The 16,607-nt window shown below is 51.4% G+C and overlaps 1 protein-coding gene and 1 long non-coding RNA gene across 11 annotated transcripts in view, besides 2 other annotated features; one reads left to right on the forward strand and one right to left on the reverse strand.

Moving 5' to 3' along the window:
• The window catches only part of ADAMTS17 (ADAM metallopeptidase with thrombospondin type 1 motif 17), a 370,539-nt gene continuing 361,192 nt past the window's right edge, over positions 7,261 to 16,607 (reverse strand). For all 10 annotated transcript variants that reach the window (NM_139057.4, XM_005254872.4, XM_011521312.3 and 7 more), the window contains 2 exons: positions 11,869 to 12,046; positions 7,261 to 10,386 (listed from right to left, as the gene is read on the reverse strand). In NM_139057.4, the coding sequence (NP_620688.2) occupies positions 10,226 to 10,386; positions 11,869 to 12,046 (339 nt within the window). In that variant the 3' untranslated portion in view covers positions 7,261 to 10,225. The remainder of the gene's footprint in view (positions 10,387 to 11,868; positions 12,047 to 16,607) is intronic.
• Positions 11,516 to 12,111: an enhancer, noted in NCBI's record as "H3K27ac-H3K4me1 hESC enhancer chr15:100515897-100516492 (GRCh37/hg19 assembly coordinates)". NCBI's record gives its function as "activates a minimal SCP1, AML or CMV promoter by ChIP-STARR-seq in naive H9 embryonic stem cells {active_cell/tissue: H9 hESC(naive)}" and the evidence as "EXISTENCE:reporter gene assay evidence [ECO:0000049][PMID:30033119]".
• Positions 12,047 to 16,598, forward strand: LOC105371022 (uncharacterized). The gene is made up of 2 exons (XR_001751713.2): positions 12,047 to 12,415; positions 14,334 to 16,598. It is a non-coding gene; the product is annotated as an uncharacterized LOC105371022 (long non-coding RNA).
• Positions 12,112 to 12,707: an enhancer, noted in NCBI's record as "H3K27ac-H3K4me1 hESC enhancer chr15:100516493-100517088 (GRCh37/hg19 assembly coordinates)". NCBI's record gives its function as "activates a minimal SCP1, AML or CMV promoter by ChIP-STARR-seq in naive H9 embryonic stem cells {active_cell/tissue: H9 hESC(naive)}" and the evidence as "EXISTENCE:reporter gene assay evidence [ECO:0000049][PMID:30033119]".

Here is a 16,607-nt window from a genome sequence, read left to right on the forward strand (position 1 = left end):
GGGGAAAGGAACTAGATCCCGAAGGAGCTGCAGGCCCTAGCAAGAACGGACATGCAGATGCCAGGAGAGTGTACCAGACCGGATCTGAAGTGCTGGATAAGGAACAGTGGACATGAAGGTAGAAGGGGGAATTCTACCTCTTGCAGCGGGAGTTCTCTGCATGGATTTAACTCCCTCCCAAGGACCCTGGGAGACAGATGGCTCACAGAACCTTGGGGACAGTGATGGTCTCGCAAAGTGCAGTAGAAGTGTTATGGTAGGGGCCGGGCATGGTGGCTCACACCTGTAATCCCAGCACTTTGGGAGGCTGAGGTAGGTGGATCACCTGAGGTCAGGAGGTCAAGACCAGCCTGGCCAACATGGCGAAACCCCATCTCTACTAAAAATACAAAAATTAACTAGGCGTGGTGGTGGGCGCCTGTAATCCCAGGTTCTCAGGAGGCTGAGGCAGGAGAATCGCTTGAACCCAGGAAATAGAGGTTACAGTGAGCTGAGATTGCACCACTGCACTCCAGCCTGGGTGACAGAGTGAGACTCAGTCTCAAAAAAAAAAAGAAGTGTTTTGGTAGGTAGAGATAGAGGGTTCAGAAGAGTCAGAGGCTGGGCCTGCTAGAGAGGATATTCTTTCTAAGGCTGGAACACCTTCCCAGCCCCCATCCGATGTTCCATAGGAGGGTCTGAGGGAAACTCCTCCATTTCCCAAAGCAGTGAGGAGGTCCTGCTGAAAGGGCAGCAGCATTGTGGAGAAGTTCCAGCAGAACGGTTCCCTGTAGGTCATGGCTGACAGCAGGGGATGCTGTGCAGAACTGGGCTCCCTGATAGCCATGAGGCTAATAGGATCACAAAATAAAGCCACATGGTAAGCCCTTCACAGTCAGAAAAAGGGTGGGCGTAAGATCATGAGGGGCAGCAAGGTCAGAGAAGCAGCAGGGGGCCTGACCTACAGACAGGGGTTGGAAATAGTTAATAGAGCCCTACTAGGGCCAGACAGAGGAGCAGCCAACTTCCCACCTATAACTCAATTCATTGTACATTTATAGTATTACTCAGTTTACACATTGACTAAAAAAGGGCGATCACAAGAGCAACCATCCTGTCAAACATGGCGTCTTGCTCAGTTTCCAGTCTGAGCCGGTTTTCATGCCCAGAATCCATTGACTGAAGGAGAGGTTGGGTCCCAGGGAGAAGGGTATCAATTAATTGCCCCCAATCTTTCCCCAAAGGAACCTACAGCCATTGACTTGTTGGAGAGAAAGATACGCAGGCATTTAGAGGACTTGCACACAGGATCCAAGTTGACACTGGTACCCCGGCTACTGAGTGTCATTGTGGTCCCCGTTTCAGAGTGACGAGGAATGGAGTTCACATAATAAATGGGGCCTGGTCCAGGTTTGGTTCACAGTGGGTCTGGTGGGTCCGTGAAGCCTCGCAGTGATGGTTTCCCCCTCCCTAAATGTGTACTGGTAATGGCTGGACTTGGTCCTTGGCCTGTAGGGTAAAAAACTACTGTAATGGGGAGGGCCAAGTGGAAGTCTGTGAAACTACCTCCCTCTCCCCGGGTGTATATAGCACCCTTGACATAACTAACTCCATCTTAGAAAAGGACTGCATTATATATTTCTTTTTTCTTTTCTTGAGATGGAGTCTCACTCTGTCCCAGGCTGGAGTGCAGTGGCGTGATCTCGGCTCACTGCAACCTCCACCTCCCAGGTTCAAGCTATTCTCCTGCCTCAGCTTCCTAAGTAGCTGGGATTACAGGCACGTGCCGCCATGCCCGGGTAATTTTTTTGTATCTTTAGTAGAGATGGGGTTTCACTATGTTGACCAGGTTGGTCTCGAACTCCTGACCTCGTGATCCACCCGCCTCGGCCTCCCTCAATTGTATATTTCATAGGGCACTTTGCCAACAAGGATGAGATGTTTTGCTTAGGAAACAAATAAAAAAATTAAGACAGCATCCAACCAGATAAGGTCACAAATAAGCATACTCTTCTATTTAGTACTATCAGTTCTCACCAGAGGACTCTGTGACCATAAAAGAACAGCCAGCCCTTCAGCAGCTTCAACTGGCCATCTTAATTGACATGGTCTTGCAGTCACTTATGATAAGAACTTCACATCTGCCTCCAAAGGCTCTGCTATATCAAAGGCTCTTCCTTGCAAGACCGATGGACTGGCCAACCCAGTCCAGGACTCATTTTGTCTTACTTCCCCTGGCCTGGTTGATTAATTCTTTCAATCTTTTTCTCTTGATGTTAAATGTTACTTTGTTTACTGTGGAATGTTTAATCTGTAACATTTATATAGTGACTATGTATATTATTATTGAGACTGAGTCTAGCTTTGGCACCCAGGCTGGAGTGCAGTGGCGTGATCTCGGCTCACTGCAACCTTCACCTCCCAGGTTCAAGCGATTCTCCTGCCTCGACCTCCTGAGTAGCTGGGACTACAGGCACCTGCCACCATGCCTGGCTAAGTTTTGTATTTTTAGCAGAGACAGGGTTTCACCATGTTGGCCAGGCTGGTCTTGAATTCCTAACCTCAGGTGATCCACCTGCCTTGGCCTCCCAAAGTGCTGGGATTATAGGCGTGAGTGACTATGTATACTATTATGCGTGGTTTGCAATATTGACTGACCCGTGGAGGGGCTTGAGCCTGGTGCCCATGGCTCTGACTACCAAGTGAATGGGTAGTACTAAGGAGAACTGCATACTTGGGAACCCCATCGAACTTTGGGCTTCTGTGATTGAAATGGCATCAATAAAAGTCTGACATTGTAGAAAGATACAAATGTTTGTGGACCTGGTTATCTCTAATCTTGCACCACTCATGACACCAGGCAAGACAGTAAATCAATAGCAATGTTGCAACCCAGTGAGAATAGCATTATGAATGTCATTCTTAAAGACCTAAAGGATGCTGCTGTGGTTGTCCCCATCATATTCCCATGCAATTCCTCAGTCTGGCATCTACGAAATTCACAGTGGATCCTCTCTGACCACAGTGGACTACTGCAATTGTATCCAAGAATGAGCCCCACACAAACTGCTGTGCCAGGTGTGATGTCTTTGCTAGAGCAAATTAACGTGATTCAGATGCAAGGATGATGGCCAGTGGCTGGGGAAGGCATTCATTTCCATCCATATCAGAAAGGAGGAGTGGGGCCAAAGAAGTGTGACAGACACAAGTTTCCACTTGTCCTCCCCGAGGCTGATGTTAATTCTCTGTTATGATACTGCCTGAGAGGGCCTGGATTGTAAAGACTCTCCCAAGAACTTGGACTGATCCACTGTATCTGTGACATCATGTTAATCAGACCAGATGCACAGGAGTGGTAAGTAGACTAGAGGCTGTGGGAGGACACATGGACTCTAGGCTGGGGGAGAAAAGCCCTATGAAAATTTGAGGGCACCCCCCTCTTTTTTTTTTTTTGAGACGGAGTCGCGTTCTCTCCCCCAGGCTGGAGTGCAGTGGCACCATCTCGGCTCACTGCAACCTCCGCATCCCGGATTCAAGCAGTTCTTCTGCCTCAGCCTCCCAAGTAGCTGGGACTACAGGCGCATGCCACTACACCCAGCTAATTTTTGTATTTTTAGTAGAGATGGGGTTTCACCATGTTGGCCAGGATGGTCTTGATCTCTTGATCTCCTGACCTCATTATCCGCCCGCCTTGGCCTCCCAATGTGCTGGGATTACAGGCATGAGCCACCGTGCCCAGCCCAAGGGCTCATTTTATCAGTGAAGTTCATAGGAGTCCAAGTAGCTGGGGGCGTGTCAGAACATGCTCTCCAAAAGGAAGGACACTTTATTGAATCATGCCTCCCCTATCATTAAGAATGAATCACAATATGCCAAAAGCCTCTTTGGCTTCTGGAGGCAGTCCAAGGAGAATCGTTCCCTGGCAGTAGGACTGAGCCTAATGGAATTGGCACCATGTGCCAGACTGGACGTCAGCTGCTGGATGGTGCCTGTCACGTGCCTTCTCTGTCCCTCCTTTTAAAATAGGGAGTGTCTGCAGTGGTTGTCTTATGCCGTTGCCACCATCTTCTCTTGAGCCTCTGGGTGGAGGGGAGAGGATGTGTCTCTTTAGTTCACGGAATTTTAGAACCAGTGCTCAAGGGCCCGTGCCTGGGGAACCATGCTGGAGGAGCCACATCGGCACCTGATTCAGGGGATGCAGTCCCGAGCCTGATGCTGAAAGGAGATGAGACTTTAGGGCTGGGGTGGGGGAGGGGTGAGTGTATTTTGCATGTGTGAATATGAAGGTTAATTTTATATGTCAACTTGCCTGGGTAAAGGGATGCCCAGTTGGCTGGTAAAACATGATTTCTGGAAGTGTCTGTGAGGCTATTTCTGGAAGACATGAGTGTCTGAATCCATAGACTGAGTAAAGAAGATCCACCTCCACCAAGGTGGGTGGGCACTGTCCAATCTGCTGAGGGCCCGAATAGAACAGGAAGGCTGACGAAGGGTAAATCTGCACTCTGCTGGAGCTGGACCATCCATCTTCTCCGGCCCCAGAACTCCAGGTTCTCCGGCCTTTGGACTGAGACTGAATTGCAGTGGCAGCTTTCCTGAGTCTCCCGCTGGCAGAGAGCAGGTGGCAGGACTTCTTGGCCTCCAATCATCATGTGAGCCAATTCCCTTAATAAATCTCATCTATTCTCTTGGTTCCATTTCCCTGGAGAACCCTGACTAATACAGGGGATGTGTGTGAATCTCCTAAAAATGGCCCTAACAGTATTTCCCAGTCCAGTTGTTCTTCCAGAACCCTGACACCACCCCCAGCAAGAGGTGGACTCTTTGTCCCCTCCCCTTAAACTCAGGTGAGCCTTTGTGCCTGCCTTGCTCTTAGGGTATGGTGGGAGTGATGCTGTGGAACTTCTGAGTTGTCACAAGAGGTTGTGCAGCTCACTCTTGGGATGTTTGCCACCAAAATCCCACCATCCCTTGGAGAGGCCCCTTGCAGGTGTCCCGGCTGATGGTCCTAGCGGAAGTTCTGACTGACAGCTGTCATCACCGGCCACAGGTGCAAGACTATAGCCCTTCTGACCCTTCCAGTCTCTACTTGACCTTTGAGCCACCCCAGCAGAGGTGAGCTGCCCTCACCAAACCCTCTGCTGAAATTGCAGATTTAGGACAACTATGAAGCGCCATCTTAGTCCCAAACTTCCCGGGGGATTGAGTATATGCACGTGGAGAGTCATGCGTGAGTACAGAGGTGGGCCGGGATGGCTGTCAGGGCCCAAAATGTTCACTTGGAAGATAACAGAATGTACATGGTGTAAAAACTCTTGAGTCCAGGTAATATGACCTAGGGAGAAAGTACATAGAAAAGGGTGGAGGACTGAGCTTGGGGCACTCCATCACTAGCTGGATGGTGGGGAGAGGCGAGGAAAGGCAGCAGTGTGTGGTGCTGCAGAGGGGCTGTGTCAAAGGGGAGGGCTGCTGGGAGCTGGGGAACAGGACACTAGGATGTCCACGCAACCTGATGCCATGAAGTCATTGGTGACCTGTCAAGAAGAGTGTTACTGCAGAGCAGAGGGCAAAAGCCAGGGGAGTTCATGACCAGAGGTGAGGTGGTGTGTGGAGCGCTGCTGGGGAAGGGGGGAGGTCAGTGATGGTGGGAGGGCTGGCTTTCCAGGAAGGCTGGGCACTGCTTCCTTGTCAGGCAGAGAAGGTGGACACACATGCAGGCAAGTTTGTACCTGGGAGCAGAAATGCAAAGGCTTTTGCTGAGACCTTTTACAGAGAGAGGGTGCTGCAGTAAAAGCTTCCAACCCCAGCCCTTCTAATCTGTGTCCAGAAGGTCAGTCAACAAACCCACAGAGGACATCCTGACCTTTCCCTCTTCCGAGCTCTGTTCCTCGGGCTCATTCCCAGCTGTGCGCGTCTCCAGGTTTCTCTGCCCCGTGGGGCTGTGGGCTCCTGAATAAGACTTCTGTTCCTTTGCATTCTCTTTGGTTCTAGGAAGTGCTTGGTCCCCAACAGATGCCTACTTGACACTTGCTGATGGACAGCTTGTCAATTTCATCTAACAAACCGGAATCACTGGGGCCATCCAGGAATCACAGCAGCTCATGAAGAAATTCCACATGAACAGGGCTGTTAAAAGCCAACCCGCCAGAAAGGGTAGAACGGAGGAAGGACAAGAGGGTTCTAACACCTCCTGGAGGCAGGTGGGCGACGGTTCTTGAGAATTTACACAAACCACAGGTTTTCCAGTGTCCAGGGGGCTGTGGGCAGTGTGTTGTCTGTCAAATTATTTTTTTAGTGAGATTTCTGGGTGCTACACCAGTTTTTTTTTTTTTTCTTAGATAGGGTCTTGCTGTGTTGTCCAGGCTGGAGTACAGTGGCACAATCACAGCTCACTGCAGCCTCCAACTCCTGGGCTCGGGTGACCTTCTTGCCTCAGCCTCCTGAGTAGCTGGGAGGGACTACAGGAGTATGCCACCACACCCGGCTAACTTTAGTAGACAGGGGTCTCACTATTTTGCCCAGGCTGGTCAACTCTTGGCCTCAAGCCTCCCATGTCAACTTCCCAAAGTTCTGGGATTACAGGTGTGAGCTGCTGCACCTGGCCTGCTTTAGTCTTCATAGAGGGTTCTAAGGTTGTGAGTGTAGGGGTTTCTCCTGACTCCAGGAGGAGATGGACTCCCCATCCCTGTAAGCTGTGACATGTGTGTTCCATGTCAGGCCCAGATGGGATCCAAATGGCTGTGGTTGTTCCCACTGTGGTGGTGTGGAACCCCTGTCCTGTCTGCAGTGCTGGGGGATGTGCAGGGCCGGGACTTGCCGTCACATCTGCTGGCAGAGGGAAGCTGTGAGGGCTGTTGGCAGGGTTGTGGGGGTGGGGGTAGCGGCTGGAGAGTTCAGCATGGCTCTCCAGCCAGCGTGGCCAGGGCGTGCACTCTGCAGCATGGGTCTTGGAGCATGGGCCACTCTGCCAGTGAGGTGGCTGCCCTACATCAGATGCGCAGGCTCACAGCACAACTGTCAGACCCTCAGGTCCCCACCCAGGGTTTTGCAACCACAACGGGATGAGGCCAGGACTGAAAGAAAGATTTGTTAGCACTCGCTCAGGGAGAGGCAGCCATCCCCCCGAACTGCATTTCCCAGTGACCTCTGACACCAACTCCAGCTGTGGCCAGCAGGCTCCCTGCAGCCAAGTCCCTGGCAAGCCAGGTGGCCACCACAGTGGGGAAGGAGACAGCCCTTGGGGACTGGCTTATGTCTTTTACTTCACAGACAGCTTTAAACTGTTATGGAAAAACATTTTATTACACATATTCAACTTGCTTCCAATGAAATGATTAATTTTTCTATATAATTTTCATGTATAATGGCGTCCAATGTTTGTCTTCCGTTTTTTTTCCTTTCAAAACCAGCCCCAAAAAGTAAAACAAAAATTCCATGGGTACAGTATGTAATGCAAGTTAACGAATGGAAAATAGATACATTTGACTCTGAAACGAAAAAAGGACAATCGTATTGCCATAGAGGCTCTTTTCCTGCATTCTGATCCTATCCAGCAACGGTCAGCTGAGAGGGTTTAATTTTGCACCAATAAAAATAGCACCGTAGGGTCGTGAGACTCTGGTAACACGTGCGTTAGTGACACGTGTGCAAGCACAAAGGTACAGTACTCGAGGGACAGTACAGGGTATTAACACAGAAACATCACTGCTGTGATCAGCATCTAGTGGAACAAGAATGTTTATGATGGTTTCACTGAAATCACTGCTCGTGCCATGAACAGAAGGTAGGCTGGTGGATTTCAAGATAAGCTAAAAGGCCGGGCGCGGTGGCTCACTCCTGTAATCCCAGCACTTTGGAAGGCTGAGGCGGGTGGATCATGAGGTCAGGAGATCGAGACCATCCTGGCTAACATGGTGAAACCCCGTCTCTAGTAAAAATACAAAAAAGTAGGTGGGCGTGGTGGTGGGCGCCTGTAGTCCCAGCTACTGGGGAGGGTGAGGCAGAAGAATGGCCTGAACCCGGGAGGCGGAGCTTTCAATGAGCTGAGATCGCGCCACTGCACTCCAGCCTGGGCAACAGAGGGAGACTCTGTCTCAAAAAACAACACCGACAACAAAAAGATGAGCTAAAAGAGCTCTGCAGATGCAGACTTTAGGGGAACTAATGGGGGTATCTGACAATAACCCAATCAATCCTTTTCATTCTGAGGGTGTGGGGCCCTTGCCAGGGTGACAGTGGGCATATCTGGAGGCCCCGGGGCCCATGCAGGAGACCAAGCTAAGGCTTCCTTAGTGAGCTTGCCCGGCTCTGCTCCTTGGCTGCAAAAGTCTAAATGTCTTTCAGTGAATTAACAGTTCATTTGGGGATGAAGAAAATTGAACCTCAGCGCCCCCAAAATTTTGAGGGCTTTGTGAAAATGGGAATTCATGGGAGTCTGCTGGTGGCCAGGCCTGAAGGGGAGGACAGCAGTCTGCGCAGGCCGCGGGGCGAGGGTGGGCCGCTCCATCCTGACACCCTCGGTTCTTTCCACAGAGCACCCACGGAAGTTTCTCAACACTTCTCGTTGATTCAAGTGGAAGTGAGTAAATTCCCTGACATCCCTACCGCTTCTCTGCCTCTAGGGTAGTAAAAACAAAAACACAGCTCGTAAGACAGGGTGGAGAAGGCAGAGAGGCTTCTTTCTGATTTAAGCTAACTCTACGGTTGTGACATGTAACAAAACAAAACACAGAAACACAGCACCAATAAATCAAGAAGCACAGGGAGATGATCCCATGGAAGTCCAAGTGAGACCTTCCGTCTGAAATCAGGGAGGAGGTGTTATTTACGGTAAAGTCCTAGAACATAAGCACCCATGAAATGCCCACCAAGTTGGTGAGCAAAACAGGCCTCCTGGCATCTAGGGTCCCTGCCCGGCCTCCTTGCAGGTAGGGTGCTACCATCCTCTGTGCTCTCAAAGAGGCCACTCTGCTTGTCTGCTGCCAGGCGTAAGGGGGCTGCAGGGGGGAAGGACCTTCCTTCATCATGCATCATCCTTGCCCCACCAAGAAGATGGGTCAATGATGACAGGCGTGATGATAATGGGTACCACAAAGTCTGGGGCTACAGGAAGGCTCGGCGGGTGTGCAGCAGTGCCAGCCAGATGGCGTTCCTCCCCTGGTCCTGGCACATCAGGCTGCTCCGTGCCAGGATAGAGCAGTCAGGCCTTGCTCTACAGATCCTAGGCCTGGGCTTGTGTCCTCAGAGGTCCCAAATGTCGTCTTACCTTCAGATAAATGGCCACGGTCGGTAGAAAGCCACTGGGATGTGGTACAGCATCTCTAAGGTACAAAGCTTTAGGAAGTGCAGGCCAGAGTGGATGTTCCCGGAAGGCGGGGCAGGTGCCCATCCGCCCCAGTGAAGCTGGCCCAAGCTTACCTTTGCCTTAGGAAGCAACCCCATCACCGCAATTACCGTTTCTTATGTCACAGCACCTTGAAGAGAGGCCCTTCTGTTTCCCTACACGGTGGACAGCAGAGCTCTGAAAATTAGATGCTTCCCCAAACCCAGACTCTCTTGGAACATTCTTCCCATGCGGGTGGTATGAACTGCGTGGCACTGCTGTCCTCGCTGGCATATATAGATTTACACTCCACGCACGAGACTTCCAAGGCAACACCTAGGATTTAGAGACTATGTTCTCAGAGACGGGCATGGAGGCAACGTCCTGGTTCTCATGTGGTCAAGAAGGTAGATGGAGAGAAACGTGTGCTAAGCAGCCCGGCCCTCCCCAGAGAAGCCACGGGCAGAGGCTCACCAACACCTGCCCCTCCCTCCATGGTGTCGCCGGCTTTCAGAATAAAGCCTTTTCTAGCATGTCTCGTTTTGGGGATGTTTCCTCCATGATATACCAAGCACTGGAAATTCAAATGTCAAAAGCGAGTCAAGACAAGAACACTAAATGATGTCTCTCTCTTGACGGTTGTCTGCCAGAGGTGCTTCCCTTCGAGGTACCTGAAATCCTAGAAATTGAAGTTACTTTGTGACTCATGCCTACTTTCTCCTCACTGTAGAAAGCCAGCCAGTGGCTGTTAACAATATATTAAGTACGGAAGCACTAATGGCAAACGCCAAGTCCACGCTCATGTTCTATGTAGTTGGATTCTTGTGGCAGCCGGGTGGGGGCGTGGCCACAAGGCTGGTAGGCTTGCGGGTGGGTGGGTTTCAGACCTGAGTCTGAGCTTTGAGCGACCCTTGGGACTGCGTGTCACGAGTTCGGCGGTGGCTGGCGCATCTTGTTTGCATAGAAGTCCCTGCAGGTCTGGCAGCAGCGCTGGTACCACCGCATGTCCTGGCAGAGGTTCTTTTCTCGGATGACCCGGCAATATACCGTCCACTGGTCTCGTGTGCATTTGTAGGTCAGAGCAGCTAAGGGGATAGGAGAGAGAATACCCAGGGTCAGGGATGGCCTAGGCATGTCCTGATGCAGGCACAGGGAGGGCTTGTGGTCTGACCGTCTGGGCTCCCTCACCCTCGTGCACACGTCAACCCTTTGCACTGATTAGGCCATGCCTCCTGCCAGGGCACTGGGGGTGCCACTTTCTGTCACAGGGATGCACCTTTGCATCCAAACCCAACCACATGACAGAGTGTGGTGGTCTGGCTGCCTCTTCAGGGAAGAGGGCACAGGCCACCTTGCTTCCGAGCTAAGTGGCACTTACTATTTTGTGGCCAAGGGTACCATTACTGTAGGCATTTATAAAACAGGACAACATGGAACAGTGGACATCAAAGGACCCCAAAAAGCATGAGGTCCAAGTACATACAAGTGGCCCAAATATCCTTCAGGGTCTTGATTGTACAGAGAGAAGGCCCTGCTCAAGGGAGGTCCTGAAGTTCCCAAGCAGGCCGGTGCTTGAAAAGACACAACTATACTTCTGCCAGCTCAAAGGCCTCCCCCGGAACAAAGATACTAGAAATCCCCTTCATTTTGGTGAGTTTCCAGCCTCAGGTAGGAAAATATTTCTCAGGGACTTGTATTTAGCAAAGCAGAAACTCTGTTAAAAGGAATCATCATATCATTGTTTTTTGTTGAGATGGAGTCTTACTCTGTTGCCCAGGCTGGAGTGCAGTGGCACGATCTCGGCTCACTACAACCTCTGCCTCCTGGGTTCAAGCGATTCTCCTGCCTCAGTCACCTGAGGCGTGGGGACTACAGGCACACGCCACCACGCCCGGCTGATTTTTGTATTTTTAGTAGAGAAGGGGTTTCACCATGTTGGTCAGGCTGGTCTCGAACTCCTGACCTCAGGTGATCCACCCATCTCGGCCTCCCAAAGTGCTGGGATTTACAGGCATGAGCCACCACAACCAGCCAGATCTTTAAGTGCTCTTCTTCTCCTTGTATCACCACTGACCTGGGGCATGAACTGGTAAGAGGCCAGGTTCCGAGCACCCAGGGCCAAACCACTCACACAGTCTGCAGCCCCTCCAACCACGCCTGTCTGCTGCTCAAGCATCAGCCTGGGGTGTGCCCCATGTGTGCATCCTCATGGCATCATGAAGGATGCCCCTGGAGCTTTCATTTCTAGAAAGAAGCACTTCCCTTCACATTCCTCATGCACAGGAAACCTACAGTGTCTGTGGAACATTCTCCTGTGTTGGGCAAAGGGGTGAGGGAGACGCTCAGGTGCCTGTGTTGGAGACAGCAGTAAGCAAACACCACTTCCATAACAAGGAATGGAATCCATCTCTGAAACCTCTTCTACAGAACTGACAAATGTCAGCCTTATGTGACAAGTGAGGCCCAAGAAGGGGCTTTCTGGCTGAAAGAACCTCACCGTCAGGGAGGACTTACTGGGCAGGAGACACAGCAGCCCCCTGGGAACCGGGGCCAGTGAAGACACTCACCAAGGCGGGGGGAGGTGATGGTGTTGGCGTTGATCCTGTCGTTGCAGACCTCCTGGTAGCACTGTCTGTAGGGGGCAGGCTTCGAGAGGGCGGGGCACTCGCTGCCGTGGCGCCCTGTGACCTTGTGCATGCACTGCACCACCCGGGACTGCAGGCCCTTCCCGCAGGTCGACGAGCACTGCAGAGACAGGACAGCCTGAGTGGGGCTGACATGAGGTCAAGGGACTGGGATGATGGCCTCACAATGTGGCACTGCGGAGACAGGACAGCCTGAGTGGGGGCCTACACGAGGTCAGGGGGCTGGGATGATGGCCTCACAATGTGGCACTGCGGAGACAGGACAGCCTGAGTGGGGCCTACACGAGGTCAGGGGGCTGGGACGATGGCCTCACAATGTGGCTGCCCCTGGGCTGGGCACTGTGTGTCATGCCCAGGCACTTGCAATCATTCAGGGCAAAAACAGCAGCTGCCTGATAGAAGACTGTTTCAAGATGTTATGGAATACATGTTTGTGTCTCTGCAAAATGCAGATGTTGGAGCCGTGGAGGTGGGTGGCTTTGGGAGGTGAGTAGGGTTAGATGTCATGAGGGTGGAGCCTCCATGCTGGGAATAGTGTGAGAAGGGAAAGAGACCCGAGCTTGCTGGCTCTCCACCGTGAGAGGATACCGTGGTCTGTAAATCGGGGAGGGTCTTCACCAGGCACTGGATTTGTTAGCACCTTGATTCTGATCCTCCACCTCCAGAACTGTAAGGAATAAATGTTTAAGCCACCAGGCTTCGGTACTTGGTGACAGCAGCCAGGGGAGACTAAGATGTTAAGACAACAGCTGAAATATTAACTCATGCTAGCTGCATTCCACCGCTCGCCTCTGCTCCAGGCTCTGACGTTTTTGAGATGGTGAGCAGCATGGCTTGGTGGCCCCCAGGAAGGACCGGGCCTGATGACCACAGAGGTCTCCCAAGCACTGTCTGCTGCCTGAGGCTCCGGGGCCTTTGCCCAGTCTTGGGCATGGAGAAGAGCCCAGTAATGACTGGGGTTGAATTTCCCACAAGCCTGGAGGATTGGGGCTTAGAATTAAGTAAAAGAAAACAAAGTACAACCTTTCTTGCATACCAGAGTCACGCACTAACATGTGGCTGACGGTGTTGATTTAGACATCCCTGGCTGCTGGCATCTCCAGCCCCAGCATGAGGAGGTGCCGTGTTTGCTAAAACCTGGTCAACATAGTTGAGCAGAGGCCCCCAAATTCCCAAGGAGTGGACCCGGTTAAGACTTCGTGGTTCTGTTCTCCGTCCCTCCTCTTCATATATATATATATATATATATATATATATATATATATATATATATATATAATTTTTTTTTTTTTTTTTTTTTTTTTTTTGAGATGGAGTCTCGCTTTATCACCCAGGCTGGAGTGCAGTGGCGCAATCTCGGCTCACTGTGCAACCTCCACCTCCCTGGTTGAAGTGATTCCCCTGCCTCAGCCTTCTGAGTAGCTGGGATTATAGGCACCTGCCACCACATCTGGCTAATTTTTTTGTATTTTTAGTAGAGACAGGGCTTCATCATATTGGCCAGACTGGTCTTGAACTCCTGACCTCAGGCAATCTGCCCGCCTTGGCCTCCCAAAGTGCTGGGATTACAGGAGTGAGCCACCGTGCCTGGTGTCTCTTCACACTCCTTAAAGCATTTCCCAGGTAGGAACTGGCCAGGTATCTGAGTCCTCTACTCAGATTCTGCTCTTGAGCTTTTCGGCCCCTGCTTTCTCCCAGGAGCCCTTGGAATGGTCTCTTCTCCCTTACATTGGCCTCTTCCCAGGAAGACAGCCAGGTCCATGAGTATACTTTGGTGTCCACCAGAGCCCACACAACCCCTGATTTACAGGGTTCTGAGAGCAGTCAGCAAAACCGGTACAGCAGCCGAGCTGGAGCTAGGAATGGCACCTGGGGTGGAGAGAGGGGAGCAGGGCGTGGAGGGTTTGGGCGCAGCCTTGTTCTCTGAATGCCACACGTGGTGAGGGAGGCAGGTGCCCCGCAGATCCTGTGCTTCCCGTGTCCTCACTCTTGGTCCTGACCCTGGCCTTGCTGGAGAAAGGACCTTCCTGGGGGTCATGCGGAGTCTCCAGACACAGGCTGCGTGGGAGGCGGTGGTGTCCCATCTGTGCCTGGGAGGGCTGTCTGCTCCCAGGGGGGCTTCTGCAAGCCAGGTGGATTCCTCAGCTTCCTTGCCTGACAAGCAGGTTCAGGTTTTGTGTGTCTTTTTTCACTTTAGAGTGATAAACATTCAGAGGGAATGTTGCTCTAAAGGGGCACTGCTTTTTTCAGCTCACAAAGGAGGTGTGAAAACTATAAGCAGCTCCCTAGTGGGCCCCCGGCACGTTCAAACTGGAACCCGGGCTCTGACCCGAGAGGCCAGGCCAACCCTAGGGCCTCCCCACTTCATGCCTTGTTCCTTTTCTTAGATAAACCCTTCGGAGGCAGCTCATGGCCTTTCAAATTCATGCATTACACATGCAGATTTCAGGGCTCCATCCCAGACCTCAGGAGTCGGCATCAGGCGCATGGAAGTTTGAGGAGTGCTGAGGTTGAGGGATGAAGTCACACAAGGAAGTTCCCGCCTTGAACACAAGACAGGTGCTACAGCAACGCGACTCCCGCCCTGCTGGTGTTGGGGGCACCTTGGAGGAAGCTGGCTGCACACTGGGATCTACTGCATGCAGCTACCTGGTGAGCTTTGAAAAATCCCACACCAATACAATCCGATGGTGGAGGGGGTCCCAAGACCCAGAGCTCAGTGTTTATAAAGCTCTCCAAGTGCTTGCAGTGGGCATTCAGAACCGAGGGCCTCCGACTTAACCTGAACCTCCTCTCAGGTCCCTGTGGAGAATGCAAAGAGCTCTCTTTTCTTCCTGTTAAGGAGTAGTTGTGTCTCTGCACACACAAATATGTATAATTAAGCAAGAACAACATCCAGGCGCAGCCCTGACTGCAGTCTATAGCCAGATGACAGGTGTGCCTAAAGGTAAGGGAGCAAAGGCTTTCAGTCAAAATTCTTTTTAGAGGCCAGGTGCGGTGGCTCACGCCTGTAATCCCAGCACATTGGGAGGCTGAGGCAGGCGGATCACGAGGTGAGGAGTTTGAGACCAGCCTGGCCAACATAGTGAAACCTTGTCTCTACTAAAAATACAAAAATTAGCCAGGCGTGGTGGCGTGCACCTGTAATCCTAGCTACTCGGGAGGCTGAGGCAGGAAAATGGCTTGAACCCAGGAGGTGGAGGTTGTGGTGAGCTGCGATCGTGCCACTGCACTCCAGCCTGGGCAACAGAGCAAGACTCCATCTCAAAAAAAAAAAAAATCACTTACAAAAGCAATCTGGTAAGTAGTTGTACCCAGAAACTGAGAGTCCACACAAATGTGGTAGATGAAGGGAAAAGCCAACGTTCCCAATGCGGAACAAAGCCACGGAGCCGAACGCTAAACGCAGAGCGAAGTCACGCCAATCCCCTGCAAAACCACGCGAGTGGTCCACTGGGAGCGGGACAGACTGAAAAAAGGGCAGCATTTGAGTGAAGTCAGATACAACCACGTGCCCTCTGGCAAACCGACAGGCGACTCAAAGTGGAGCTGGTGACGATGAGACCAACACTACAATCACCAGGTTGCACCACACAAAACTGCTTCTATTCAACTGTTTTGACCTCAAAGCATCCATTTCATAAGGCTCCATTTTATAACATACCAAGGAAAATAGCAACATTTCTAAATTTGAATGTTTATAATGCATAACTTTAAATATGAATGTATAACTACATCAATAAGTTACTTAATGGCAGGCATTTGATGAGTCCACTTACATCACTAGAGACTTTTATATCTAAATGTGTTATGTAATTCAAAAGAAACCCTGCTTCCTGGGAAAACGGGATTACCATATAATCAGGGTTAATTTCTGTGACTATTTGGCACGTATGAGGCCCACTTAAGAACAGAGGGCTGGGTGCGGTGGCTCACACCTGTAACCCCAGCATTTTGGGAGGCTGCAGTGGGCAGGTCACCTGAGGCCAGAAGTTCGAGACCAGCCTGGCCCACATGGCAAAACGCTGTCTCTACTAAAAATATAAAAATTAGCTGGGCATGGTGGTGAGCACCTGTAATCCCAGCTACTTGGGAGGCTGAGACAGGAGAATCACTTCAACCCAGGAGGCAGAGGTTGCAGTTAGCTGAGATTGCACCACTGCACTCCAGCTTGGGTGATAGAGCAAGACTCTGTTTCAAAAAAGTAAAAACTAAAAACAGAGAGATACACCTGCTGCCTGCCGACCTGCAGGCAACACCAACATCCCTTTTCTCTTCAGATCTTTTCTCGGGCCATTGGCCACAGTGCCGCCTCTACTGCAAAACATGTACCCAGGAGGGAAAGGCAGGCAGCCTCCTATTCCTTTCTGGAGAGAGGAGCATGGGGCAGGGGGCTGTTGGATTTCTGGGGAGGAAACTGCACAGATGGATGGAGGAACCCGCCTCACTCCCCTGCATCTCCTGAAGAGGTGTCCGTGCCCTGCCAGCTGGGGAGTCAGTCCCACTGAATCACTGCTGTTAAGGGGCTCAGCCCTGCAGGAGTGCCAGGAAGGGCTTCCGTTTCTTCTGCGAGTGTTGCTGATATGTATGTGAAAATCACACAAGGGCAAGGGCTTCACCCTGTGCGTCTATTAAAACCAAGTGCAGCATTGGCAAGGTTT

Source organism: Homo sapiens, chromosome 15 (genome assembly GCF_000001405.40).
Source record: "Homo sapiens chromosome 15, GRCh38.p14 Primary Assembly".
In the NCBI taxonomy this organism is placed as follows: domain Eukaryota; kingdom Metazoa; phylum Chordata; class Mammalia; order Primates; family Hominidae; genus Homo; species Homo sapiens.